The sequence below is a fragment of the Homo sapiens genome, chromosome 5 (assembly GCF_000001405.40).
Source record: "Homo sapiens chromosome 5, GRCh38.p14 Primary Assembly".
Taxonomy (NCBI): domain Eukaryota; kingdom Metazoa; phylum Chordata; class Mammalia; order Primates; family Hominidae; genus Homo; species Homo sapiens.
The window spans coordinates 139,734,198-139,761,033 of NC_000005.10; the positions used below are offsets into that span (position 1 = coordinate 139,734,198).

The 26,836-nt window shown below is 54.1% G+C and overlaps 1 protein-coding gene and 1 long non-coding RNA gene across 5 annotated transcripts in view, besides 12 other annotated features; one reads left to right on the plus strand and one right to left on the minus strand.

The window, feature by feature from the left end:
- Window positions 3,953-4,880: an enhancer, noted in NCBI's record as "H3K4me1 hESC enhancer chr5:139117735-139118662 (GRCh37/hg19 assembly coordinates)". NCBI's record gives its function as "activates a minimal SCP1, AML or CMV promoter by ChIP-STARR-seq in primed H9 embryonic stem cells {active_cell/tissue: H9 hESC(primed)}" and the evidence as "EXISTENCE:reporter gene assay evidence [ECO:0000049][PMID:30033119]".
- On the minus strand, window positions 7,150-12,026 carry PSD2-AS1 (PSD2 antisense RNA 1). Of its 2 annotated transcripts, none has more exons than NR_105053.2 (3): window positions 11,997-12,026; window positions 10,973-11,062; window positions 7,150-7,443 (listed from the first exon to the last, which is right to left on the minus strand). It is a non-coding gene; the product is annotated as a PSD2 antisense RNA 1 (long non-coding RNA). The 2 variants fall into 2 exon arrangements; NR_105052.2 differs by having other exon boundaries at window positions 11,710-12,026.
- Window positions 7,762-8,311: an enhancer, noted in NCBI's record as "H3K4me1 hESC enhancer chr5:139121544-139122093 (GRCh37/hg19 assembly coordinates)". NCBI's record gives its function as "activates a minimal SCP1, AML or CMV promoter by ChIP-STARR-seq in primed H9 embryonic stem cells {active_cell/tissue: H9 hESC(primed)}" and the evidence as "EXISTENCE:reporter gene assay evidence [ECO:0000049][PMID:30033119]".
- PSD2 (pleckstrin and Sec7 domain containing 2) overlaps window positions 8,278-26,836 on the plus strand; it is a 101,992-nt gene continuing 83,433 nt past the window's right edge. The window contains exons 1-2 of one of the 3 annotated variants that reach the window (XM_017009976.2): window positions 8,278-9,654; window positions 10,690-10,804. The gene's annotated coding sequence lies outside the window, so the exon portion shown is untranslated. Of the gene's footprint in view, window positions 10,805-26,836 lie in introns of all 3 variants that reach the window. The other 2 variants (XM_017009977.2, XM_047417829.1) reach the window with 2 other exon arrangements.
- Window positions 8,312-8,860: an enhancer, noted in NCBI's record as "H3K4me1 hESC enhancer chr5:139122094-139122642 (GRCh37/hg19 assembly coordinates)". NCBI's record gives its function as "activates a minimal SCP1, AML or CMV promoter by ChIP-STARR-seq in primed H9 embryonic stem cells {active_cell/tissue: H9 hESC(primed)}" and the evidence as "EXISTENCE:reporter gene assay evidence [ECO:0000049][PMID:30033119]".
- Window positions 9,779-10,372: a silencer, noted in NCBI's record as "fragment chr5:139123561-139124154 (GRCh37/hg19 assembly coordinates)". NCBI's record gives its function as "represses an EF-1alpha promoter that drives an FKBP-Casp9 reporter gene in an ReSE screen in HepG2 liver carcinoma cells {active_cell/tissue: HepG2}" and the evidence as "EXISTENCE:reporter gene assay evidence [ECO:0000049][PMID:32094911]".
- Window positions 11,896-12,543: an enhancer, noted in NCBI's record as "H3K4me1 hESC enhancer chr5:139125678-139126325 (GRCh37/hg19 assembly coordinates)". NCBI's record gives its function as "activates a minimal SCP1, AML or CMV promoter by ChIP-STARR-seq in naive H9 embryonic stem cells {active_cell/tissue: H9 hESC(naive)}" and the evidence as "EXISTENCE:reporter gene assay evidence [ECO:0000049][PMID:30033119]".
- Window positions 13,682-13,791: an enhancer, noted in NCBI's record as "active region_23253". NCBI's record gives its function as "activates an Ori minimal core promoter by ATAC-STARR-seq in GM12878 lymphoblastoid cells {active_cell/tissue: GM12878}" and the evidence as "EXISTENCE:reporter gene assay evidence [ECO:0000049][PMID:35858748]".
- Window positions 14,042-14,091: a silencer, noted in NCBI's record as "silent region_16429". NCBI's record gives its function as "represses an Ori minimal core promoter by ATAC-STARR-seq in GM12878 lymphoblastoid cells {active_cell/tissue: GM12878}" and the evidence as "EXISTENCE:reporter gene assay evidence [ECO:0000049][PMID:35858748]".
- Window positions 14,489-15,136: an enhancer, noted in NCBI's record as "H3K27ac-H3K4me1 hESC enhancer chr5:139128271-139128918 (GRCh37/hg19 assembly coordinates)". NCBI's record gives its function as "activates a minimal SCP1, AML or CMV promoter by ChIP-STARR-seq in naive H9 embryonic stem cells {active_cell/tissue: H9 hESC(naive)}" and the evidence as "EXISTENCE:reporter gene assay evidence [ECO:0000049][PMID:30033119]".
- Window positions 18,064-18,215: a silencer, noted in NCBI's record as "fragment chr5:139131846-139131997 (GRCh37/hg19 assembly coordinates)". NCBI's record gives its function as "represses an EF-1alpha promoter that drives an FKBP-Casp9 reporter gene in an ReSE screen in HepG2 liver carcinoma cells {active_cell/tissue: HepG2}" and the evidence as "EXISTENCE:reporter gene assay evidence [ECO:0000049][PMID:32094911]".
- Window positions 21,841-21,920: a silencer, noted in NCBI's record as "silent region_16430". NCBI's record gives its function as "represses an Ori minimal core promoter by ATAC-STARR-seq in GM12878 lymphoblastoid cells {active_cell/tissue: GM12878}" and the evidence as "EXISTENCE:reporter gene assay evidence [ECO:0000049][PMID:35858748]".
- Window positions 24,011-24,909: an enhancer, noted in NCBI's record as "H3K4me1 hESC enhancer chr5:139137793-139138691 (GRCh37/hg19 assembly coordinates)". NCBI's record gives its function as "activates a minimal SCP1, AML or CMV promoter by ChIP-STARR-seq in naive H9 embryonic stem cells {active_cell/tissue: H9 hESC(naive)}" and the evidence as "EXISTENCE:reporter gene assay evidence [ECO:0000049][PMID:30033119]".
- Window positions 24,910-25,807: an enhancer, noted in NCBI's record as "H3K4me1 hESC enhancer chr5:139138692-139139589 (GRCh37/hg19 assembly coordinates)". NCBI's record gives its function as "activates a minimal SCP1, AML or CMV promoter by ChIP-STARR-seq in primed H9 embryonic stem cells {active_cell/tissue: H9 hESC(primed)}" and the evidence as "EXISTENCE:reporter gene assay evidence [ECO:0000049][PMID:30033119]".

Below are 26,836 nucleotides of genomic sequence, written 5' to 3' on the forward strand. Positions count from 1 at the left end.
GGGGTTTGCACAGAGGCTGGAGGGGGACATCCAAAGGCTCCTGTGTGCCACAGCATGCACCCGAGGGGTATCCCGGGGTGAGTCCGTGAGTGTGCATTTGGGTGAGGACGTGATTCTGGGTGTGAGGGGTCTTGCTTGAGCGCTTGAGCACATGAGCAGCCCCTAGCCTGCTCAGAACAGAGCACTGCTGTCTCTGCTGCGCCAACAACGAGGCCTCTCTGTCTCAGCGCATAATGTCCCCTCTGTATTGTCTGCTGCATCGCTGTGGTGACGATAATTTTAAGGCCCAAATCCTTTTCGTGGGTGAGGGTGAGGGTTGGGTTGGGGGTAGGGCAGGGTGGAAGCCTTCTGGGGAGGGTGGGAGCTCGGGGGCTGGGTTTCAGCTCTACGTGTGTGGTGGTCTGTTGTGTGTTTGGGGCCTTCCCCTACATACAACCCCTACAGGGGCAGCAGAGAGAAGTCAGGGACTCCCAGAAGCCTCTGCCAGAACCCCTTGCCCTGAAGTCATGTGGTCCCTGCCCTGCTCCAAGTCCTTCTCCCTCACCCTTGCCCACCCCAGACTTCAAAGGCACTCTCTCTCTGGGAGCCCCTTTTGGTCCCTGCCTGCCTCTGCTGATCCAGGCTTTCTGCAGGCCTATCCCTGTCTTTCCCACCCTGGAACCACTAGACCAGCGGCTGTCAGCCTTTTTGTTCCTGGGACTCCTTTACATGCTTAATAATTACTAAGGATCCCAAAGAACTTTTGTTTACATGGGTTATATCCATCAAGATTTACCATATTAGAAATTCAGACTGGGAAAATTTAAAAAACAGATATTTATTTATTCATTCATTTTATTTATTTATTTATTTTGGGATGGAGTTTTGCTCTGTCACCCAGGCTGGAGTGCAATGGCATGATCTCAGCTCACTGCAATCTCCTTCTCCCTGGTTCAAGTGATTCTCCTGCCTCAGCCTCCCGAGTAGCTAGGACTATAGGCTCACATCACCATGCCCTGCTAATTTTTTTTCTTTTAAGACAGAGTCTCACTCTGTCGTTCAGGGTGGAGTGCAGTGGTGTGATCTTGGCTCACTGCAACCCTTGTCTCCCGGGTTCAAGCGATTCTCATGCCTTGGTCTCCTGGAATTACAGGCATGCACCACCACGCCTGGCTAATTTTTGTATTAGTAGAGACGAGGTTTCACCATGTTGGCCAGGGTGGTCTCAAACTCATGACCTCAAGTGATCCTCCTGCCTTGGCCTCCCAAAGTGCTGGGTTTACAGATGTGAGCCACTATGCTTGGCCAATAATAATTCATTTTAAAATAACAGTAATAATACCATTACCTGTTATCATAGATAATATATTTTTATGAAAAATAACAACCTTGGCTGGGCTCAGTGGCTCATGCCTGTAATCCCAGCACTTTGGGAGGCCGAGGTGGGCAGATCACTTGAAGTCAGGAGTTCGAGACCAGCCTGGCCAACATGGTGAAACCCCGTCTATACTAAAAATACAAAAATTAGCCGGGTGTGGTGGCATGCACCTGTAGTCCCAGCTACTCGGGAAACTGAGGCATGAGAATCGTTTGAGTCCAGGAGGCAGAGGTTGCAGTGAGCCGAAATTGCACCACTGCATTCCAGCCTGGGTGACAGAGTGAGACTCTGTCTCAATTAAAAAAAAAGAAAAAGAAAAACAACAACCTTATTTTCTAGAATAAAACAAAATGAGCAAGAAGAGTGGCATTGTTTTTACATTTTTGCAAATCTCATTAATATCTGGCTTAATAGAGCAAACAGGCCTCGTGGGGCTGGGCTGGATTCTCATATCTGCTTTTACTTTGAATCGGTGGTGATTATAGATAGGCACATAATTTTGTTGTTGTTGTGGTTAAAGTATATGAGGAAAACCTGGCCTCACACAGATTTATAGTTGGAAGAGTGAGTAGTGCTTTATTAGCCTTTTGGGATAATTTGATACTACACCAAAACTTGACAAGTGGTAGTTTCCTAAAGGTTAATATCATTTGGAGCCTGAAACCATATCAATGAGCTTTTCATATCTGTTACTATTAAAGTCCACTTGTCTAACTCACATTTTGAATGGATCTTTTATCCACACATGATTTTATAACAGCATGCATGTCATTTAAAATATTTTTCTGAAGGCCAGGCGCAGTGGCTCACGCTTGTAATCCCAGCACTTTGGGAGGCCGAGGCGAGCGGATCATGAGGTCAGGAGTTCGAGACCAGCCTGGCCAACATGGTGAAACCCCACCTCTATTAAAAATACAAAAAAAAAAAAAACAACTAGCTGGGTTTGGTGGCGGGTGCCTGTAATCCCAGCTACTCGGAAGGCTGAGGCAGGAGAATCGCTTGAACCTGGGAGGCAGAGGTTGCAGTGAGCCGAGATCGCGCCACTGCACTCCAGCCCGGGTGACAGTGCGAAACTCCATCTCAGAAAAAAAAAAAGAAAATTTTTCTGGGCACAATGCCTGGAATCCCAGCTACGTGGAAGGCTGAGGCAGGAGGATTTCTTGAGTCTAGGAGTTCGAAGCTAGTCTGGGCAACATAGCAAGACCCTGTCTCTAAAAAATGAACAATAAATAAATAATTTTTTAAAATAAAAAATATTTGTTCACTGAGTTATAAAGATCTCTCAATTATTAACACATTTCATTATGCCATATTAAAAAATCACATCCATGGATATCACCAACAGTTTCATTAGAAATGTACCAGGAAACTGTGAAGCTTATGGTGTTATGGTGTTGTATACCTGTCTTTCAAAATTTAAATTTCACTTAAAAATATAATTTTATACATAAGCAGAATATGCAAAATGAAAATAGAATTTTAGCTGGGCATAGCAGTGTGTACCTGTAGACCCAGCTACTCAGGAAGCTGAGGCGAGAAGATCCTTTGAGCCCAGGAGTTTGCATCCAGCCTGGGTAACATAGTGAGACCTGTCCCCAAACAACAACAACAACAAAACAAAACAAAAAGATTGTTATCATTGGCAACAAATACTGTGTGTTGTTTTCCTTGAAGTGACTGGCTTACTTCATTATTTGTGAGAGAATAACTGCCAAATATCCAAGACTGCCTGTCAGTCTTTCTGTCAAGTAAAAATGACGTGCCATAAAAAAACCAGCTAGTTCAGCTCGCAACTCAAACAATAGCATAAATGCTTTTCTTGAGGCAGCCAACACACTTTGATTGATATATATATATATATATATATATATATATATATAGTTTTTGAGACGGAGTCCTGCTCTGTTGCCCAGGCTGGAGTGCAGTGGTGGGATCTCGGCTCACCACAACCTCTGCCTCCCGGGTTCAAGCGATTCCCCTGCCTCAGCCTCCCAAGTAGCTGGGACTACAGGTGCGTGCCACCACACCCAGCTAATTTTTGTATTTTTAGTAGAGACGGGGTTTCACTATGTTGGCCAGGCTGGTCTCGAACTCCTGACCTCGTGATCCGCTTCGGCCTCCCAAAGTGCTGGGATTACAGGCATGAGCCACCACGTCTGGCCAACTCTGGTATGTTATAGAAGCGTTTTATGTGAATTCTGCATACATGTGCCGAATATGACTCCTAGTACAGTTTGATTTGTGCTAAGCCAGCAACAGTTTTACCTAGTATGGCTTAGACATAATAAAGAAGTCAAATAATGTCTTAGTATTATTAGTAAAATAATTTTGACCTCATCTACCCCTGAAAAGGTCTGGGAGACTCCCAGGGGTCTGTGAACCCTACTTTGGGATCACTGCACTTGTTGTTCTGTCTCTTCTGCTCTCAGTGGTGATGGGCCGTGTCTTTCATATTTTGCTGATTAGGACACTGGGGTCCAGCAGAGCCCCACATGGGTCCTCATCTCTCATTCCAGGACTGAAGTGAGAATTTTTTTCCTGGCAGTGACTGGGGAGGTTTCTTGTGGGGGGAGGGGTGGCATTGATTTTGATGGATGGAGAGGCCACCAAAAGTGGAGGCTGGGAATGCACCATTGGTGGAGGAAACAGCATTGGTGAAGGCCTGGAGAAAAAAGCTCTGAATGGGGTCAGATAACTAGGGCCCTTGAATGCCAGTGCCAGGGCAGTGGGCACCGCAGAGCAGTGACCAGAGATGGGAAGCAATGGATGAGATGTGCCAGGAACAGGGAGCGCCAGAGAGGAGGGCCTTTGTCCTTCACCAGGAGGCCTTCCCAAGCCGGCTGGCCTCAGGGCTGTGTTCTCAGGGCTGGGTTGATGTGTGGCCACTGAGATGAACTTACCCTTCCTGACTGACCATGATTGGCAGAGGGTGGTCTGCTGCCCAGAACTCCCTGCTGAAAAGTGTCTCCGCACCTGCACTGACTGACACTCAGCCTCTCTTTCCCTTTGTATTGGCTTTTATGGTGACAGTGAGTAGCCTCATCCAGTTTCTTATGCCATGCGTGAGTGTGAGGGTGACCTGGGCAGAGGTGGCTGCTGAGGGGAGAGATTGGTAGTGACATGTCAATGTGATTAGAGGTGAGGGTCCTGACCTTTTTACCACAAAAAAACCTGCTTGTTGCAGGCACTGATGCCTCGGCCAAGTCCTGTAAAAGTGGGGGTTGCAGAGCTGACCCCGACACACCCCCACCCTGGGCCCGGCCTGCCCTCTTCCTCTTCCGATGGCCCTGTGTCCCTACCCCAACCTGTCCCTGAGCTGCTGGTCTGGTATGGGGAGACAGACCTCAGCTTCGGTGCAAGACTGGCCTCATACCTCCTGCTGTGCACATCTGTGCTCCTGAGCTATGTACCTGGGCTGGGTTGTGCCACACACGTGTTAGCAGCCATGCTGTGTGACTATATGGATACACCCTGCGCTGGGTGCACATGGTGCGCTCTGCATCACAGACATTGTGAGCTTGTGTACCTTGCCGTGCACACTAAATTGCGTCTGTTTGTTTCTGTGCCTTCAGTTGGGTGGTGTATGTTTGTGTGTATATGCTTTGTATATCTTTACAGGGTGTGAGTGTCACTGTGGTGGGTGGTGTTTTTGTGTGCTGGTTTGTCAGTGTGTATCTTGGCCCAGCCCCAGAAGGCCAGCTGAGGTGTGGTGGGGGGTGGGGTGTCGGACTGTGCTGGGGTAGGGAGCCCACAGCCAGGAGGCCTGACTGGGAATAGACATGTCCTCACCTGCCCAGAAAGTGTCCCAAGCCCTCAAAGAGCCCTTGTCCAGCTTCACCACCCCTGGCCAGTCAGGGTGGGTGGCTGGAGAAGGGGGCATGAGGGAACCAAAACAACCTCAGCCCAACTCCCACACTTGGCTGGCACCCAGGCCTATTATGGGGTCCCCGTGCCCATGGCCCGCCCCCTAAGGCCCCAAGCACTTTGCATTGTGGGGCTTGGGGAGGGGCCTAGAGACAAGACTCTGTTTGGCTCTTGTGACCAACTTCAGCTCCTAGTGGGCCACCAAGGCAGAGCTGGCCCCAGGCCTTTTTGAGGGTGGGGCTGCTGGGAGGACTAGCTCCATGGAGCCAGGGCTGATGCTCATCTTATTACCTGTGTCATTCATTTAGCAAATACACATTGAGCACCCACTGTGTTCCAGGCCCTGCTTTAGGTGCTGGGAATATAGCAGTCACTCATTGAATTAGGGGTAAGGAGAGGTTATACTGCTGCTGTGCATTTACAGATGAAGAAACAGGTCCTGGGAGGTGAAGTGATTTGCCCAAAGTCATAACAAAGCTGGGATTTGAAACCAGGCCTGTCTCATGCAAGAGGTCTCCTCCTCCTGCATTTGTCCATCCTGACTTCGGTAGTCACAATTATAGCCGAATGCCCACTGAGCTAGGACCAGCTAGCTGGCTAGCCCCGTGCCCTGGGCTACAGGTTGATGCAGGAGAGTGGGCACAATGAAATAGCTCCTAGAAAGGCAAGTTGCCTGGAGTAGGCACAGGGGTGGTAAGGTGGAGGATTGAGGGGTGGGGAAGGAGCAGAGGGAGGCTGTGTCTGTCTCCAGGGTGCACTGGGACCCAAGGGAACGCCTTCTCTCCTGCTGTGTGATCTGGGATGGCCCCTGCTTCACTCTGAGCCTTAGCTTCCTCATCTGTAAAGTGGGCACAGTAACTGCCCTCTCCCAGTGGTACCATGCTCATGGCATGATGCCTGGCACACAGTAGGGCAGCTGGGAGGATGGGGCAGAGCTGCAAGTGGGCAGGGCCTCCCCAGGGCTCTGCTCAGCCTCAGGAAATGGGTAGGGGGTAGGGAGGAGGAGGCGCAGATGTGCGCTTGTCTCACACGAGCAGCCGCATTTAGCCACCGAGTCGGGACTGAAATATTCCTGAGGGAGAAGAACCCTGAGGCTTCAGGGCGGCAACGGCTCGTCAGTGGGGAGCGGGGAAGGGATGTTGTCACCATCTGCCTCGTGTCTGTCTGCGACTAAAATAATACTGGGGTGAGACTCGCCGCAGGCACGGGCCCAGCCGCAAGGTTCCCCAGAAGAGGGAGGGGCTGGGGGTGCTGGAAACCTTGTGGGGAGCAGTGGCAGAGAGAGGTCTGCTGGGGGCAGCTCTTGGCCAAGGCTGGGCCCTGGTCCTGCCCCCTTCCTGAGGGGCCACAAGAACCCATGGGGGTGGTGTGTGCATAGGCATGGATACCTTCCTGGGGGGATCAGCCCTGGGAGTGCAGGACTGGACACCCCCCAGACCCGGCTGGGGTCTGCTTCAGAGGGGAGACCAAGCGTGTGCTGAGATCCCTGCAAAGCAGGGGCAACAGCAGAAACAAAGCAAGAGACAGACAAATTGCCTGATTCAGCTTCCATGAGTTTATCCAGAATATTGAAACCAGAAAACGTAGCAAGAAGCTATTTTAATTTCAGCCGACGTATAAGTTTTGGGTCTATGGTTTACTGTGGTTTTTATTTTGAATCAAATATGGAGGATGTTCCATAATTCCCTCGGGGCTCTGGGCTCTGGGGACTGAGTGTCTGCCTTTCTCTACTGGGCACAGTAGTCACATGCCAGCTGCCTCTAGGAGTTGGCACCCCTGGGCCTGGGCAGGTGCCCCTTCAGGTCAGGGACATGGTTTGGAACCTCATGCTTTGCTTCTGGATGAAGCCATTACATTCTGATCTTTTGCTATGGTTCTCATCAGATATGGCTAGTGGGGTATTTTTGTTTTTGCAGAGAGAACAGACCCATGACCTCAGTGGTTTATTTTAACTGCAGATGCACCCAAAATGCTGGTTGCTTTGTGCTGACATGGTTACAGGGCTGTCAGTTTAGCAGGCAACATGCAAGCACCTACTATGTGCAGACCCTGAGCTGGGGCAGGCTGGGCCCGCCCTCAGCATACAAGGTAGAGAAGCCAGCAAGACCATAGGAGATCAGCCACCTGGGTGCCAAGGAGGGCGGTGGGGAGCAGCAAGGGGGTGTTGGATGTGGCAGGAGTCCACAGCTGTCATCCTGGAGAAAGTGGCAGAAGCACTCACCCTTGAAAAGCAGACAACAGCAAAGGACAGTAAGGAGTATGCCCTAGGCAGAGAGTACGTGTGTGTGCAGACCACCACTTTGTGGCTCTCTCTCTTTGTGGCAAGGGTATTCGCATCACAATTTAGGTGCAATGTGGAGCCCTTCTTACAGACCAGACCCAAGCTAACTGGCTTAGGTGTGTTTTCCCGGTTAGTCCTCACCAACATCCCATAAGGCCAGTACACTTAGTGCCCATCTTATAGATAAGGAAACTGAGGCTCAGAGAGGTTTAGCAACTTGGGTAAGAGGCAGAGGTATGGCCCCAGGCTACTCCGTGCTGCCTCTGCACAATGCCCTCATTTGGCAGGCAGCAACTGAGCACCTACTATGTGCAGGCCCTAAGCCAGGTGCTTCCTGGATTCAGGCCCTGGCATCACATTCCAGAGTGTCCTCAGATGGCTGGCATCTCTCATTGTCATCTGGGCACGATGATCAGAGGAAGCTCTCTCCAGGGTATATGTGGGTATGGGGGAGAGGAGTGTGGGTGGGAGCCTGGAGGCCCCTGCTTGATAGCTGTGAGTTCTCCCTCATGAAAGCCTCAGTTTCTTCACCTGTAAAACGGGGCCGTGATGCCTGCTGTGCAGGCCCATGTGACAACGTGCCTTGAAAGCGTGTGGGAAAAGTGCTTTGTGTGTTCAGTGAGCCCTCAAACTGGGCTGACTCTCCTCAAACCACCAGGAGCGAGCTTCCCGGAACAATCTAGCCACCAGCCTTTCCCTGCAGCTGACAGGCTGCGGTCACCACCGCCACCACCACCCTGAATTATTCAAGACCCTCCAGGCCTCAGTGGCAGCCCTTCCCCTCTCCCTGTGCAACCAGGCTGTCAACACCAGACTCTAGGCCTCTGCCAGTGATCTATGGACCTCAGGGCCCCCGAGCTTCAGCCTGCTCAGGTAGGGCCATGAGTGTGATAGGGCGAGGTGTGACTGAGCATGAGAGTGACAGTGAGCATGTGAGAGCAGGAGGGGGTGACAGTGTGAGTGCGTGTGTGAGTGTGGCTGTGAACGTGCATGAGGATGTGTGCAGGTGAGCATCTACATGAGTGCAGGTGTGAGTGTGCCACATTGTGTGTGAATGAGTGTGTGAGTGTATCTGGAGCCTGGGCTCTCCTTAGCTGCGGGGGAGCCGGGCTCAGGGAGGAGCTCCCTCTGGCTCAAGAGAATACAGTGATCTGAGAGCCAAATTCCAGCCTGGAGTGGGAGGGGGTCAGCTCACCTTTGCTTCTACAGTCCCTTAAGGGCTGGTTGGAGTGGGGAAAAAGCAGAGAAGCAGCAGTTTAGGAAAAAAGGTATGTAGTGGTTGGATCATGAAGAGGACTTGGAGTCTGTGGCCCTGTGGGGGCTCAGAACACTGTCAGATTATTTCGGTATGTGTCATTTCCCGGCAAGCTGAGACCCTCAGAAGAGAAGCAGTTGCCTCCCCTTGGTCCCTTTCCTCCTCCTGGGCCTAGGAGAGCTGCGAGCCCCTGTGGGCAAGAGGTGAGGACTGTTCTCTTGGATCTGTGGCCAGGTGGAAGCTCTCCAAAGTCTTGGGGGATGGGGAGGGTATGGAGGCTCACCAGCACCTTGCTGGAGGGCCCTCACCCATAGGCAGGAAGGACAGAGCAGACGTCTCTCTGGTACCCACTCCTACCAACGCACTGACCCTGGAGGGTTACTGCTTCGTGTGGGGTAAGATGGAGAACCTGGGAGGTTGGAAGCTGGTGAGATTTAGGAACTGGGAGCCTGCAGTGTGTGGAGGTTGTGGGGGTGGAATGTGTGTTTGGTGTGAGTGCTGGGGTCTGCGTGTTGGTGTGAGGAGGTGAGAGGCTGTCTGAGTTTGCCTTTGTATCTGTAAGATTGTATGTTTCAATCCCTGTAGGTGTGACTGTTTATGTCTTTTTGTGAGTGAGGACCTGTCTGTGTGATCACATGAGTGTGTACGATCTGTATTTGAGAGTGCATGTGTGTGGAAGCATGCTAATTGTGTGGGAGAGGTGAAAGATGATTGACAGGGAAGGGGCGGAGGGTGGGAGCCCACACTGAGTGCACAGTTTCATCCTTCCTCAGGCTCTGCTTGTCATGGCTGAAATCCCCTGGACTGCATTGGGACCATACTGCTGAGAGTCTGGTTGCTGGGCTTCAGCTGACAGAACATCAGAGCCCCAGGATGGGATAGCCACAAGTTGGGAAGGTGAGGCAGGGTGAGGGGCTTGATGATGGGGAGCAGGCAGAAAGAACAGGCTGCAGAGCTAGGGCTGCTGGAGCCTGATGTCTGGTCCAAGTTCCAGCTCCTCCACTCATGGGGTGAGCTGGGGCAAGTCACTTCACTCTCTGAGCCTCAGTTTCCTCATCAGAACAATGGGCCTGTACACTAAGCATTATCCACCCCAAATCCTAGAAGCCTGCCTTCTCCTCCTGGCTCTGGGAAGTTGACCATTGGAGGCCTGGGACACTGGCCTGTCTGGAGGCTGGGGAAGTATGAGACGACCCCTTCTTCCCTTCCCTGCGCCCAGAAGGCCTGACTTGTCCTACTGCACCCCTCCCATCACAGTGATCTGTGTGGGCTCATAACAACATAAGCTAGACGGTGATCCTGTATCACCTTCCTGCATTCTGGGAGGCTCGGCCTCCAACTCCCAGACCAGGGAATGGTCTCCACTCCTCCAATCCTTCCCAGGTTCAGAAGCAGGAATGGGGGAAGTCCTGCCTGTCCCCTCTCTGACTTTACTTTCCCTTTCTAGAGCAGGGGTATTCTGGGATGGGAGGACTGAGTGTCCCTGCTGCCTGGTCCTCAGAGTTGGCTAGCTCCCCCCATGCCCCTCATTCCCCCGCCTGCTCGCCTGTAGAGCTGTGGCCCGGGCAGCTGTCCGGCTGAGTGGGTTAGCAACACAAGACAGATGGCGAGGGATTATCTCAGCTTCTCAGAGCACGATGGTGGCAGCGGCGGGGGTGGGGGGAAGGCTCTCACACCCTCCCCATGTGTGTGTACACACACACACACAAATGCACACATGCAGCTCCCCGCTCCTGCCCCAGACCCAGCCCAGCCTCCTGCTATTTATGAGGCGGGCAGGAAGACAAGAGGAGAGATGAGATTATGAGAATTGGTGAGAACCGTGGGACTTGGCAATCTTGTCCCTGCCCCACTTGGCTCCCAGACCACAGGCTGAACCAGCTTCTCAGGCCCTTCTTGGACCCTGCCCCTGCTATTGTGATTTCTCTGCAGCTGCCACCACTGGGAATGGTACATTCAGGAGGGCATGGTTTTACAGAGAAGTTTGAGGCCCAGAGATGTGCGAGCTGCACTCAAAGTCACACAGCAAGTTTGGTTCATTAGCAGGGTAAGTTCTGGGGGGTGGCAGGTGGTGGAGTCTCTTAGCTGTCCTGGCACTGGCTGTGGGGTCCTTGGGTCTTCTGCAAACAAGGTGTTTGCCCTAGCACTTGATGCTGCAGCCCAAGGTCCCACAGGGGCATGTCACAAGGCCAGCTGCTGGCACGCAAGTACTCACAGGCACAGCCTCTTGTTCATATACACTGTCAGGCTCTGGGTGAAGGCTATGTAGAGTTGAGTGACAGAGCTGGGTCTCCAGGCTGTGTCACTGTGAAAGAATTGGGGCAGGGTTAGAACCCCACTAGAGTGAATTCTCCTACCTGTCCCTCAATTTGCCACAGGCAGATGGTGGAGGGACTTTCCAGCCTCGGCCACACACTCAGGCCCCCCTACCACCACATTTGCCCATTAACAGCCCCACTCCAAGTCCTGAGTCATCTATGCTGAGTCGCCTGGGGAGGAGTGTGGGCCAGGAGACTGGGCAGGATTTGCGAATGGCAACCCCAGGGGGCCCTTTTCCCAGCATGGGTGGGCGGGGCCGACGCAGTGGGGAAGGCAGGGTGGAGGCCTTCTGAGAGAACTTCTCTGCTCCTAGCTGCCAATGTCCTGACTTCGCCCCCGTCCCCAAGAGTGACTCAGTGTCTGCTGGATGCGGTAGTGCGGGTGCGGGGCAGTGCGGAGCTGCTGCGGGTTGCCCAGTGCCACTCCCTTCAGAGCAAACCCACTTCTTGAGGCCCCGAGGCCCCCGCCTGGGGGTCTCCTGTGTTCACGTGTGCCTGCCCAGGCTGTCAAGTGAAACATGACCTCAGGGTCAGCCTGGCCTGCCTCTGGGGCTGCATTATTTGCGGGGTTTCCAACATGATGGTACCACCCACACTGTCCGGTCACAAACAAGACCGACACCGCCAGGTTTACCTGCTCCTGCCCCCTCAAACCATTGAATCAGCCCCTCTCTTGCTATTGGATGAGAGGGGTTGCCAGGACCAAGCCCCTCCTCCCCACCGCCAAGGTGACCACACGTCTAGGTATCAGGGGTGGTGGGCCCACTGCAGAGCGCTAGGCCGAACTCATCTCCTGGATCCAGGCCAAGCTCCACCTCTCTGTCTCTCCAGACTCAAGTTGGTCATTTGTATCGTGAAAGCTGGACAAAACTATATCTAAGCTCCCCATCTTCCCTCAAAGCTTGGCCTGGGGAGCCCTACATGAAACCTTGGAGCTTCTGAGCCTTCCCCCACCCCCAGCGGGGGGCTTTTCGTTCTGTGAAGGTCTCAAAGTAACATTCTAAAGAGGCACCGTGAGAGCCAATCAGAGAGCCCATGTAAATAACGGCCCGCTGATTGGCTGTCTCCTTCACGCCCTGAACGAAACTTCAACTTCATCAACTCAGCGAAGATTTTTTCCTCTGGCCTCGCGCGCCCTGCAGAAGGCGGGGCTGGGGGGTCACCCGAGCCTTCTCCCTGCCGCAGGCTACCTGGGCCCGCCGAATGGGATCGCGCTGGGACAGGCGGGGGCGAGTGTGCCGCCCTGACCCTGGCCCCGGGGGTGTTATTCTGGTACAGAATCCCCCGCGGGGGAGGCCCGAGAAGTGAGGCACCCCCGCTTCTTTGTAGGACCGCCACAGAACGGGCTGCAGGCCGCGAGTATAGAGCTTGGCTGGGCGGGATCGATATCTGCCCGCTGGACTGATGCGCGAGGGAGGCTGCTAGACAGGCTGGCTTTGCGGCAGTGTGATGGCCGCGCAGCACCCCCTGACCCCCACGGCTCCCCAACCCCGCCATTCCCTTCATCTAGCGCTCCCGGGGAAGCCGAGGCGGGCAAGTGGCGTAGCGATGGAGGGCGCACCCAGGGGCAGCGACGCTCCCTCGCTCTGGCTCCCAGCCCTGGTGGTGGGTGCAGGAGTGAGGGTAGCCCAGGGTCGCACCCTGCTCCCAACCTCGGCTCGTCCCCACCCTCCACGGTCGTCCGCAGCTCGAGGCAGCCTGCATTTCTGCCAGTATCCTGTCCCCTCGCCCGGTCCTTCGCCCTCCTCCCACTTTCATTGTGTGTCTCCTCTCTGGCTCTGAGGTTCCTCCTCCCTCCCTTCTCTCTCTGGGTGTCTCCGTGTCTATCTCCACATCTCCATCTCCATTTCTTTCTCTGCCTGTCTCTGTCTCTAGCTGTCTCTGTCCCTCAGTCTCTGCTCAGGTCTCCGCTCGCCTCTTGCTCATTTTCGTTCCTCTCTTTGTCTGTCTGACTCTCTCTTGTCTCCCCCCCTTCAGTTACCCCCAACCCCCCGCACACACACACACCTCACAGCCCTGTTTACGACATCCCCTGGGCTGGCAGGTGGGCGGGGCTGCAGCAGAGCGGGGGTGAGAGAGGGAGACGCAGCCTCCCCCCCAGCTGTTAACCTTCACGCTTCAGGCCTCTGCGGATGGCAGAGGAGGGGGAAAGCCCAGCTGCCAGCTTGGCGGAGGTGACCGGGCGGGGGCTGGGGGCTGTCCCTCCCTCTGGGCTCGTCTCTGGGGAGATCTGGGGCCGGAAGGAATGTGGTGGAGGGCGCCTTCGGCTGAGGAAGGCTGTTGCCGGATGGGTGGCCTCCTGAAGGCTTGTGCTGGCGAGGCGGGTGCCCAAAGGGGGCTCTGAGCGGTGTCGGCCCTGCCCGCAGCCCGGCCGGACGTGGGGGCCGGCGTGAGAATCCCGCCCATCTGTGAGCCGGCCTCACGCCGTCAGACCCAATTTATCTCGCCGCCAAAGTTTCACAGCCATCTGCTCGAGTGGAACGGCTTCCAGCGCTGGCCCCACCGGGCCCCCCAGCCAGCGCGGGGATGTTTTCCAATACGACAGCATCGCCCCGCCAAAGCAAGGAGGGGGTGTAGGGGGAGGCGGCAGAGCGCGGTGCGCGGGGCTGGCAGGCAGCCCTCTCCCGCGAGCGAGCCGACCCTGAATTTTAAGCGATTGATCAGGAAGCTCAGGCCGTTCCCATCACTTTGAGCAGCCAAATGCGACGGCGCAGGGATTTCAAGGGGCCTTTGCGGAGGCGGTAATGAGGTCACCGTCACTGCGCCAGCCCGCGGGCGGGAGGGGGCGAAGGTCTGCGGACACGTGTGAACACAGCCTGTGAACCGAGCCACATCTGTATTCACGTGACCCCCGGGGCCCCAGCACTGACCCAGGAAAACTCGGCATTTGGATCTGAGCTGATTCACACTCCCCCGCCCCCACCCCACCTACCCAGCCAGACACGGTTCGAGAGGCTGAGCTAGAACCCAGCCCTGCCACATCCATGATTCCATGATCACCTCAGACAGCTTCAGCACAAGAGCCCCAACTCTCTTCTCCTCCCCGCTATGTGCCTAAAATACACATATTTGGGCACCTGCCCATTGCACTTCTGAACAAGCCTGTGGAGACAGATGTACCCTAGGCCCCCGGTAATCACACAGGTGCACACATTCCAATTACACACCTGACCGCAATGCTCGTGCATTAGTACACTCCCAACCACCACCACTACCACCCCCAAACATGCACACAGGTACTCCATCATTTTCAAGCCAGCACCCAGCAACACACGAGCCCCCAAACTCCCCTCCCCCGGGCGAACTCATGTGCACACTCATTCCCAAGACCCCGAGCTTGCTGCCATGTCCGCGCGGGTGGGCGCCTCCACTGCCCGCCAGGCAGCGCGGGTGCAGACCTCGAAGAGAACAAAGGCCGGGCAGGTGGGAGGGAGGGGCGCTGAGCCCCCGGCCCGTCCTCCTAGGCAATGCTCGTCTGTCTCGGCTCCGCGGCCACCGCATCGAGCGGCTCTGATTGCCGAGTAAATCACCGCGATGATCTGAATAATTATCGTCTCCTGAAAAGGGAAAAAACAGAGAATAAATAAAGAGAGAAGGGAGCAGTCACCTGATTTCTAGGAGCCCTGGGGTATGTTGGGGGGGGTGAATACATAGGGGTGGGTGTCAGTGGCCCCCTGCGGATCCTCGGGACTTCTGTTGGGATGGAGTGCAGGTGGGATGGGCCTCAGGGCAGACAGTCCTTCCTTAAAGGTGGCAGTTAGCATCCAGTCTCCCCCTTCGTCTCCCCAGGGTAAGTCAGGCCCCCTGGAGCACCCAACCGACCCCAGCTGGCTTCTCTGCTTCTTACACACTCAGGCCCACCTGACCTGTAGGGCACCCTCCTGTTCCAGGGCTTTGCTCAGTCGGTTCCCCCCTAGCATGCCCTCTACCCACCACTCTGGCTGGCTTCACTCTCCCATCTCTGAAGTTCAGCCCCAGGTTACTTCCTCTGAGAACTTCTTCCTGACTGCCCAGCCCTCCAGGATCCTTCTCTCCCAGAGTTCCAGTGTCTGATTGCATTTTCTCTGACTGATTTGGGTGTGTTGTCCTGATCTTCTCAGCTGGATGGCAGCTTTGGTGGAAGCAGCTATGTTTTAAACAAAGCAGTAATAGTAGCAACAGCAGCAGCCACTGCCCCATTCTGAGCAGCTAGGATGTGCTGGCCCTGTGCCAAAACATCATCTCACCATGGATCCTCCCCAGAATCCTGTGTGGAAAGTAATGTCTCCATTTAAATAATGGGGAAACTGAGGCGTACCAAGAGTGAAGCTTGGATTCCTTTCCTCAGGGATGAAGATGCTGGTCATCTACGGTATCCTTTCTGCAGTTGTCCCCTGATCCCACATATTGGAGGAGTTGCTTCTCTTCCAGTGCTGGGCACCAAGACACAATTACCTCAACTGGCTGGGCACAGTGGCTCATGCCTGTAATCCTAACACTTTGGGAGGCCGAGGTGGGCAGATTGCTTGAGCCTAGGAGTTTGAGACCAGCTTGGGCAACATGACAGAACACCATCTCTACAAAACAAACAAACAAACAAAAACAAACAAACAAATGAAAAACACCAAAAATTAGCTGGTATGGTGGTGTGAGCATATAGTTCCAGCAACTTGGGAGGCTGAAGAAGAAGGATGGTTTGAACCCAGGAGGTTGAGGCAGTGAGCCGTGATTGTGCCACTATACTCAAGCCTGGGCAACAGATCGAGACCGTCTTAAAAAAAAAAAAAAACCAGGCTGGGTGTGGTGGCTCATGCCTGTAATCCCAGCACTTTGGGAGGCCGAGGTGGGTGGATCACGAGGTCAGGAAATAGAGACCATCCTGGCTAACACGGTGAAACCCCGTCTCTACTAAAAATACAAAAAAATTAGCCAGGTGTAGTGGCAGGCGCCTGTAGTCCCAGCTACTCAGAGGCTGAGGCAGGAGAATGGGGTGAACCCAGGAGGCTGAGCTTGCAGTGAGCTGAGATCATGCCACTGCACTCCAGCCTGGGCGACAGAGCAAGACTCCATCTCAAAAACAAAAAAACAAAACAAAAAAAAACCCAAAATATGAATATCTCAACTCCAAACTGCCCAGCCTCCACCAGCCCTGCCCATTCCTGTTGCTCCCTCTCCTCCCTTTTCCTAGCCTCAGGAGGGCTGCCCTCCATGCATTGTAACCCCCAACCTTCCAAAGGGCATGACCCTTCCCCATAGCCACATCATCAAAGGAGGGGCAGCTCAGCCTTATGCTTCTGCCTGAAATGGTTCCAGATGTGGGGCCTGCAGAAAAGGCAGGGTGAAGGTTCAGCACAAAGCTAGGTTTCCTCCTGGAGGTTGCCCTAGGGGAGGCCCAAGCCCCTCCCACCCCTGGCACCTGGTCAGTAAATGAGAGCAGAACAAGGCCACTGATGGGATGATGGTTCAGGGAAAGAGTCTGTCAAGAGCCTGGGGAAGAGGAACCCTTGTGGGGCCTGGGTGTCTGGGGCAAGAGGGAGGCTGAAGCCCATTCTGGGTTTGCATTCCTCACTCTATCCAGCCTTGCTGGATCTGAGGCCTGGGGCAACTTCCAGGGTGGGGTTCTCCAGGCTGAGCAAGGAGGCCCAGGACTGAGCGATTTAGATCCCTCCTACTACTCCTCAAAGAAATGCCATTATAGATGGGGGAAACTAAGCCCAGGGCTCCAAATTGGCTCCTGACTAATGGTTCCTGTGCAGGCCTCTCCCATGGGGATCCTTATTCAGGGCCCCAAATGTTCCTGGGGGCATGGCAGGGTCTGGATATCACTGTGGCTTGGGTAGAGGAGGGACAGGTGAGACATGATGCTGGTCTAGAGATACATCCAGGTGGTTCAGCTCTGGGTATGAATGAAGATGAGGCAGAGCCCAGCCTAGCTCTGGGAAAATCTCAGCTCCTACTCCACAGTCTTCTGGGACTCAAGACAGCACCTCCTGCCTGAGAGGGGGGCGGAGGTGGCCAGTATCCTTGGGATGGTTCACAAACTCCTCTCCCCACCCCAAGCTCCCTTCTGCCAGCTACTCTTGGTTCCCTACTTAGATATTTCTTTGGCATCTACTGTGTGCTGGCCCTAGGGGCACAGCAGCCTGGGGTTCAGAGAGTGCCCAGGCAGATGGGGAGGCATACCCACCCACCTACACATACTCACACAGACTCTCCTCCCACCCCCTTCAAGTGTGACCAACTGGGAACCCTGGGGAAACAGTAATGAATGTGGCAAGACCTTTGCAATTAGACAAACCCAGGTTCAGACCCTGGCTCTACTTTACTTGTTGAGAGCAAGTCAATGAGCCTCAGTTTTGGTATCTACAAAGTGGAAATTGTAATAGTGCGTGTTTCACAGTGTGCCTGTGAGCGTTCTGTGAGATAATTGAGATGTCGATGCTCATCACCGCCCATCATCAGGGAAGGAGAGATGACCTCCAAGGTTGCTCTTTGGCCACTCTAGGACAGTGTTTCCATGGCATGGCTAGGGTCCAGCCTTTTTTTTTTTTTTTTTTTTTGAGACAGGGTCTCGTTCTGTCACCCAGGCTGGAGTGCTGTAGCATGATCTCTGCTCACTGCAGCCTCAACCTTCTAGACTCAGCAATCCTCCCACCTCAGCTTCCCAAGTAGCTGGGACTATAGGCATGTGTCACCATGCCCGGCTAATGTTAAATTTTTTTGTAGAGACTGGGTCTTCCTATGTTGTCCAGGCAGGTCTGGAACTCCCGACCTCAGGTAATCTTCTCACCTTAGCCTCCAAAAGTGCTGGGATTACAGGTGTGAGCCACTGCACCCAGCCAGTCCAGCCTCTTGACTCAGTGGTGGAGGTGGTTGTCCTTGGCAGATCCTCGACACTGCCAAGCCCCTCACACTCCTCAAAGCTTAGTTCTCCTACTGGTCACGTCTCTCTCTACTAGGTTCCTCTGGCTCTCACTCTCTCTCTGCCGGCCCATAATTCCATCCATCCATGTCTCTTTTTCTGTTTCTGCCTCTCCCTAAAAACATATAACTCTCCCCCTACCATAAGAACACCCTTCCACTCCCACCCACACATCCAGCCCAGCTCAACTCATCACCAGCATGCACTGTCACCTGGGTGCACACAGGCAAGGAGACATACAGAGGCAAAGCGATGGAGAGACACAATCACGCACACACTCACACTCAAGTGCACATGGGCACGAGGACAGCCACCCATCCAACACACACACAAGTGCACACACAGCACAAATAGGCATGAACAGGTGCATACAGATGCACCTGGTGACAAACACACAAGGACATTGGAGCATATTGCATATGCAAGAGTCCACAGGCATGTATACTCTCCCCCCACCACAGGCACACATAGGTCAGGCACAGACAGGTACACACAGGCACAGAAACACACACAAGGGCACACAAGCACATCTGCACAGTAAGACACAGGCACACACATACACACACGTAGGCACACACAAGCTCTCGCCCCCAGCCCCCCTCAGAGAGCTGGCTGCCCGCCAAGCGCGGAGCTTTCTGCTGGGTGTGCACAACCTTTCACAGGCTCTAATTGAGTCGAGGGTGATTTATAACACGGCAGCGCCCCTGCCCGCGTGGGCTGCCCCTCCTGCTACAACCCTGGCCAGTCTTTGACCAACCCCTCCGCCCCCTACCCCCCATAAAGCATCACATGCACAGGCCCCTTTGAGGGAGAAAGGGGCATTTTCTTCCTTGCCACCAGCTCCTGTCTTCATTCTTGCCTTTCTCCTGGGCTAGACACTGGATTCCAAGAAGTTATGACTCAACCCACCCATCCCACCACCATCAGCAAACTCAGTGTTACTCAGCCCAGCCATTGGGAGACCAATCTAACTAACCTGCCTGATTAGAGACAGCCAGGACCCTGACTGCAGATCCCACGTGCTTCCTGAGCTGCAGCGCGAGAAACGGGATTTGGACACGAGAAGGGACTTGCCCAGTGAGCTGGGGCTGCAGGATGGGTGCTGATTAGCAGGGTATAGGAAAGCCTCCATTCAGGGCCATGGGGGAGGAGAAGGCCACCAATAACCTTGTTTCATGCCCCTCCATGCTTTTGGGTAACTGAGCTGTGACCCTCCCTCCCAGCTGTCCCCATGGCCAGTGTGGCTGGGCCTGTGATTAACTGCATTAATTAGGCTCTGAGGTTTGGCTCATAAAGTCCCCTTATCCACCTAAGAAGGAATGACAGTGAGGACTTTTGTCCTAGTGGGAGGGGTGTATGCATCCTGACCCCTCACTTTTGACCCTAACATGGACCATCAGCTCTAGCCATGGCCCATGAACTCAGCCTAAGAGCTATTTCATCCTCCCAGAAGCATCTTGTGTTGGATGCTGATGCTGTTAACCCATTTGACAGTGAAGGCAACCAAGGCCCAGAGAGGCCAAGCCCTAGAGACTGATCCCACAGGAGTCCCATCCTGCTCTCAGGACGCCTGCTGCATGTGGAGCTGCTTTTTGGAGCAGGAAAGGCTCCTTGGAAAGGCTATACCTCCCTGTTCCCAGAGTTGTTTTTTTTTTTGTTTGTTTGTTTTGTTTTGTTTTTGAGATGGAGTTTCGCTCTTGTTGCCCAGGCTGGAGTGCAATGGTGCAATCTTGGCTCACCGCAAACTCCGCCTCCCAGGTTCAAGCGATTCTCCTGCCTCAGCCTCCCAAATAGCTGGGATGACAGGCATGCGCCACCACACCGTGCTAATTTTGTATTTTTAGTAGAGATGGGGTTTCACCATGTTGGCCAGTCTAGTCTCGAACTCCTGACCTCAGGTGATCCACCCGTCTTGGCCTCCCAAAGTGCTGGGATTACAGGCATGAGCCACTGCGCCGGACCAGAGTTGGGTTTAGATTACAGAATGAGGAATTCAGATTAGATTTAAGAGGGGTTGGGCATGATGGCTCATGCCTATAATCCCAATACTTTGGGAGGCCAGCCTGGGCAACATGGGGAAACCCCATCTCTACAAAAAATTTTAAAAATTTAGCTGGGTGTGGTGTTGCATGTCTGTACTCCCAGCTACTTGGGAGGCTTAGATGGTAGGATCACTTGAGCCCAGGAGTTCAAGACCAGCCTGGGCAACATGGTGAAACCCTACCTCTAAAATTAAAAAATTAGCTGGGTGTGGTGGCTCACACCTGTAATCTCAGCACTTTGGGAGGCTGGACAGATCGCTTGAGCTCAGGAGTTCGAGCTCCAGCCTGGGCAACATGGTGAGACCTTGTCTCTACTAAAAATACAAAAAAAATAGCTGGGGCGTGGTGGTGCGTGTCTGTGGTCCTAGCTACTTAGGAGGCTGAGGTGGGAGGATTGCTTGATCCCAGGAGGTGGAGGCTGCAGTGAGCTGAGATCACACCACTGCACTCCAGCATGGGTGATAGAGTGACACCCTGCCTCAAATTAAAAAAAATAAAATAAGTTAAAAAAAATTAGCCAGTATGGTGGCACCCACCTGTAATCCCAGCTACTTGGGAGGCTGAGGTGGGAGGATCACTTGAACCTGGGAAGTTGAAGCTGCAGTGAGCTGTGATTGCATCACTGCATTCCAGCTTGAGTGACCCTGTCTCAAAAAAAAACAAAAACAAAAACAAAAACAGAGGGACCTCCTTAGCAGTAGAGTTTGATTGGGAGCCAAGGTGTGTATGTGTTTTTGTGTGTGTGTGCAGTGGAGAGGGTCCGGGCTGCCCCCAAGGGAATCCACATGATAATGGCAGCCAACATTTAGTGCTTGCTTATTGAGTCGCAGACAGTCCCGTAGGGGAGGAGTTGAACCCCATTTTATAGACGAACAAAACTGAAATTCTGACAGTTTAAGCCATCTGCCCCAGCCTCATGGATTTGAGGCAGCGCCACCCACGCCCCTTCCCACTGTCAGGTCCTGGGTAGGTAGATGGATCCTCTGGGGTCTGTGTTCCAGCGACGCCACCTCATCTCTGCTGTGGGTCAACCCAGTCTTGGGCTCTCGCTCGAATACACTTGAACATGTGTGAGTGTGGGTGTGAAATGGGTGGCTGAGAGGGTATATAGGGTGTGTTCCAGAGACGCTAGTGGGGAGGGGATTTGTGCTTTGATGTGTGCGTGTCCCAGCATGCCTGGGTGTTTGTGTGCGTGGGTATCTTTGGGACATGTTATGGGGTGCTGGTCTCTATATTGTTGCATGTTTGTGTTTGTAGCTCTGCCTGCGTCATTCTGTGTCCCTCTCTGCACAGCTTGTGTGATGTGTGTATGTCCCTGGGAGCCTCCTCCCTATTTGTCTCTGTGTGTGTGTATCTTTGATATGTCTGTGTCTGTCCTGCTTCTGGGTGTGTTTCCGTGTGAGCATCTCTGCGGCCCTGCTGTGTGTGTGTGTGTGTGTGTGTGTGTGTGTGCGCGCGCATGAGGCTCCGTGCCTGTTTCCGAAGTGACTCTAGGTGCCACAGTGTGTGATGCTGTGACTGTGTCTCTGTGTGTGACTGTGTGTGAGACTGTAACTGTTCTGTGTGTATGCGACACACCGTGTGCGTGACTAAATGGTGCTGTCTGTGTGACTGTTTCAGGACCTGGACTAGCGTCGGCACAAAATTTAAGGGGGCTCCAACAAATCTCAGTAATTAGGAAAAATATTTTCGTATACTTAAAAAAAGCACAATGCAAAAAATGATGAAAATAGACTATTAAAGACAGGTTCAGTGTATGTGCCTATCCGTGTGGCTCTGTCTGTGCCTCCGCTAGTGTCCCCGCGGCTGCCGTCCGCCCTCCCGCGCCCCGCCAGGTGAGCGCAGCCCCCACCCCCAGTCACGCTGCTCTGGGCTGAGCCTCGGTAATTTCCGAGTCGGCGGCGGCTTTGTGTGCACCGGCCGCGGTCTGGGGGCGGGGAGGGAAGGGAGGGTTATTTCTCCCCCCTCTTCCTTTTTATTGGGTCATTAACAACGGCTCGGACTGCCGCTGCGCCCCCCCTTTCATGTCTGCCGCGCCTCCCGCCATTATCTGCCTCCGCCGCGCGGCGTAATTCGATGCCAATCAGGTTGGGGCGCAGAGGCAGCCGGATCAAAGCCGGGGCCGCGGCGCTGGAGGGAGTGGGGTTGGGGAGCAGGCTGCGCTCCCCCGGGGTCGGGGCACCCACCAGGGTTCCCGCTCAAGCATCTAGGGTCAGACTGGGAAGTCCTTGCCCAACCCGTGCAGGGTTCAGAAGGTTGCTTGGGGTGACCAGGTGGTCAGTGGCTGGGCTGCGCGGTTCAGCCAGGCACCAGGGTCCCTTGGGGGTAGTTTCGTGGAGGGAGCGGACTTTAGGTGGAGATTCTAGGCGGAGGGACCAGCTTGGGCACAGGCGAGGAGGCAGGACTCAGCAGAGCGCCCTAGGAATAGGGAAGAACCCAGCTGGTGGGATTCTTCTGGCTGGGCGACTGTGTTGTCTTACAAGGGTTAGGAGCAATGGAGGGGCTTGAGAGGGGGCGGGCAAAATCAAAGTTGGCCTTCAGGATCCTTTATCTGGCGATGTCCTCTGTCTGCTAGAGGCTATGCCCTGACTCAGTTTCCTCCGCTGGGAAATAGGGAAGCTATTAGCTTCCCGCACTCTTCCACAAGGGATAGTGAGGTGATGAAGGTGATAAAACAACCCAAAACAAGCACAACTCAAATTTCTTGAGCACTTCCTAATTGCAGGTCAGGCCCGAGTCTCCATTCATCCACACAACAGCTCTACAAGGTTGGAACTCATGTTTTTACAGATGAGGAAACAGAGGCACAGAGAGGGAAAGTGACCTGCTCAAGGTCCAGGGTAGTGAGGGGCATGGCTGGGATTGGAATCAGGCCCATAGATTGCATGAAGCGGATTCTCTCCTGGGAGGTCCCCTAGCCAAGCCATCTGCTGTTCTCCCACCCCTCCTGGGCTCTGGGATGGGGGCAAAGGGTTTGGAGCTGCCTGTGTGAGAAGCCAGTGGAGTCACAGAGTGGGCTGGGTGGGCAGTGGGATGAGAATCATCCTCCTCACACTCACAGCCATCTCCACTGCTTACAGCCCTTGGGCAAATCACCTGCCACCACCACCCCAACCCTGTCCTTCGCCTGCATCTGTGAAAGGGGGTTCACAAGCTTCTTCAGCTTTTCCCTTAAGAGTCAGTAAGTGAACGTAGCAAAGGGTGTTTTGAGCATCAGATGTAGTGTGGATGGGTGTTTTTATCACCATCAACCAAAGACTCAAGGGGGGTAGTGTCTGCCAGGCAGTCCCTGAAGGGAATGGAAAACCCCCTTCTTCCCCCAAAGAAAATGCTGGTGTTAGTCCCAATGATTTGGGAAAGAGTTGTTCCCCCGTCCCCACCCTTGAGAGGGAGAGAAAGAGATTTTTTCTTCCAAATAGTGCTGGGTCTTCACAACTCTAAATATCTCCAACCCTAGAATGTTCTGAGCAAACCAACGTATACATAATATATGCTTCTGTTCTTAACTAAAAGCAGGCCTCCAGACCTTGAGGACACCAGCCGGCAAGGACTTTCACCTCTGTCCTCTCCCCAGCATACCCTAGTTCTGGGGCCTGTCAAGTTGGGGTTGTGGACTGAGGAGAATGGAGGAGTACAGGTCCCTCAGCAGCCCCTGGTGTCTTACAAATGGTTTCTTGAGGCTGGGCACGGTGACTCATGCCTGTAGTCCCAGCGCTTTGGGAGGCCAAGGTGGGAGGATAGATTAAGCCCAGGAGGTAGAGGTTGCAGTGAGCTAGGATTGTGCCACTGCACTTGAGCCAGGGCAAGTGAGTGAGGACCCTATTTCAAAAACAAAACGAAACGAAACAAAAAAACCAAATGGTTTCTTAGTACCAACTTGGGTTGGGTTAGTCTGCCCTGCACTGGGGAGACAGGTGTAGGAGGCCACAGATAGATGTAGGGGTGCCTTGTCTGGTGGGAGAGGCCGGTGGAGCGTGCTTTCTGCATGGGGTGGTGATCTGTGCTCACAAGGGTGGGGTTTCTAGTGGGCCTGGGAGCACCCTTTCTTTCTGGAGAGACAAGTGAGCTGGATACAGCAGGATAAATAGAAGTTTGCTTGTTGAGGGCTGGGGACAGGAAGTACATTTCAGGAATGTTTGAAGCCCAGAGGCCTGAAAGAATAGTGCACAGTGAGTGTTTCTGGAGGTGGGGAGAAGGGCAGGGGGTTAGGCTGTAAAGTGCTGCGGACCGTGCGGGCAGAAAGGGCAGGGCCTCGAAGGATCTTGAAAGTAATCCTGAGGGTGCTGGAGAGCCAGGGCAGCTTCAGGGCAGGAAGTCACCTTGCTTCAGCCTCCTCCCCTGTGCAGTGTGGGCACAAACCATCCTCCCTGCAGGGCTGACTGGAAGGTAAATGAGAGACTGGAAGGGGACGCACTTATGCCTTTTACTACCCTGCTCCCTGCGTCCGGGAACTAGAGGTTGGGGAGTGAGGCCAGAGTGAGGAGGCAGGGTTTGGGGGCTTTGTATCCACTGTTCTCCACGCACAGGGAGACAGGCCAGGGATTCCATGCTTCCTCCAAGACCTGGCCTGGGCTGCTAGACAGAGGTGGCCATGATTAGCAGCTCCAGTTGACCTGGGCATGTGACTTGGGCAGTGTCTCCCATTGGGGAAATGGGATCTTGGTTCTGGCTCCACGGTCAGGAAAGCTGCCTTCGCCCAGGGTCCCCTTCTTGCCGCTGGGAGGTTCTGCTGGGCCCAGCCTCAGTCCTCACCATGTTCTTCTTGCTGGATTGGCAGGGGCCTTCTTAATGGATTCTCCTCCAGCTCACATTCCATGCTCCAGGTAGTACTGAAGGGGAGATCTAGGGGTGGTGCAGGCCACAGAGCTGGGGGCTGAAATCTCTGCCCTGGTCTGGTTCTACATTTCCTATCTTCCTGAAGGAGGCCCATGGCCTCCCCCATTCTCCGTCTCTCCTGGGGAGTTCCTGCCTGTCTGGAGCTGGGTGCCTGTGTGTGTTGGAAAGGCTGCACCGCACACCGCAGATCCCAGCTGCCTCTGGACGCTGAAAAATCCAATTTTCTTCCTAATTGCCACCGCCCGCGCGCGCTCTCTCTCCACTCACAGCCTACTTCTGCTTGGCGGCGCCTCGTTTCCCCCACATTCTCCCTGCTCCTGCCTCCTGCTGCCCACCCCATGGGCGGATGCTGCCCCCGATCGCGGTCACCCGTGTCGGGACGCACCGTATATCATGTCTGCAGCCGGGAGGGGCCTGGGAGCTGGCTGTCCCCCGCCCTGGGCTCCCTGACGAAATCGTCCTTTTCTGCGGCGGATGACAGGTTGTGGGAACAACAGCTTGAATTACGGAAAGAAGTTTCCCCACTGAGTTAATCTGCAGTGGCTGGAGGTGACCTTCTGGAGACGGCGATTAATCACGGGCCGTGGCGGGCGCCGCGCCACGCCGGGCCCTTTGGGGGAATACTAATTCCACTACAAGATAAATCATAATTTGACAATAATCATCTGCCCTAATCACTCCAATTCTTCCGTTTAATTATTTGTATACACTGTGTTTCTTCCACGAAGACCCTGTGTGCCCATGGGTGGGGAGAGGATGGCCGCCTGGGCACAGACCCCTCTCTGGCCCCTCAAGCCTGTCAGCCCTGCTGGCATGCCTGGGGAGGCCTGACTCAGAACTGATAGGGAGAGTGTTGGAGCTCAGAGTTTTGATAGGGTAACTGAGGAAACTGAGGCTCAGAGAAAGGCCAGGCCTTGCCCAAGGTCACATGGCAAGTTTGGGGTGAGCCAGGCTGAGGACAAAGGCCTTCGCTGTTCAGGCCCAGGTTGTAGCCCACTGTCCAGAATGCCTCACTTCTGCTCTACTCCCTGACCTTCGGTCCTCAATCTCCTGTGATGCCTGGTCCCACCCTCCATCTGCCAGTATGGACAGGGTTGCTGACTGCTTCCATTCCCCCTACCCCAGTCCTGGGCCTGGCTGTGCACTCAGGACATGAGGATCAGGGATTGCAGGCATCTGAGCAAGCATTGCCTGAAGCTTCTTACCAGGTGCTGTGTGACCTCTGGTAGTTGATGGAACCTCTCTGAGTCTGTAGCCTTTACCTATAATTGGATTGAGCTCTCTGTCTTCCAGGGTGGTGGAAACTTGACCTGGTGCCAGATCCACAGGTGTGCTCACGGGGGACCCACAGGTGTGCTCACAGATGCCTGCCATTGCCCCTTCCTGTTCTGTCAGGGTCCAGCCACTGGAGCCCTGCATTTCCTGTCTCCACTTCCCCTCCCAAACCTGGCTCCTGGTGCCACCATGCTCAGCCCCTGGGTTGTGCCGCCAGGAGAGTCCCAGGATTCCAGCTCTGCCCCTGATCCTCCCTTGGATGCGCTGGCTGGCTCTGCTGCTGATTCTGGCTCACTGAGCAGGAATCAGAATGACTCAGTGGCTTTCTTCTTCCAGGCAGGCTCCTGGCACCCTATGGAGGAGGGTAGTGGCAAATGGGGTATAATGAGAGCTGCTAGATCCAGGGTGCACCCCACATAGGGCTTGTGGTCTGCCTTTGTGGCAATGTGAGGGGGAATGGCTCTCCCAAACAAGAGCCACAAGCCTGCTGGGTGTGTGCTGATGGTGCTACAGCCAATAGAGAATGATGTACTGATGATAATGAAAATAATGATAACAACAATGAATGCTCTTTCCCAACAGCAGCCTGCCCCGGGGATCTCCTGGTCCCAAGGTCAATGTTAGGCTGATAGAGGAAACGTAGCCCTTCCCTGGTGGTCTAGTGGTTAGGATAATAAAAATAAATACACAAATAAATAAAAGGGAAA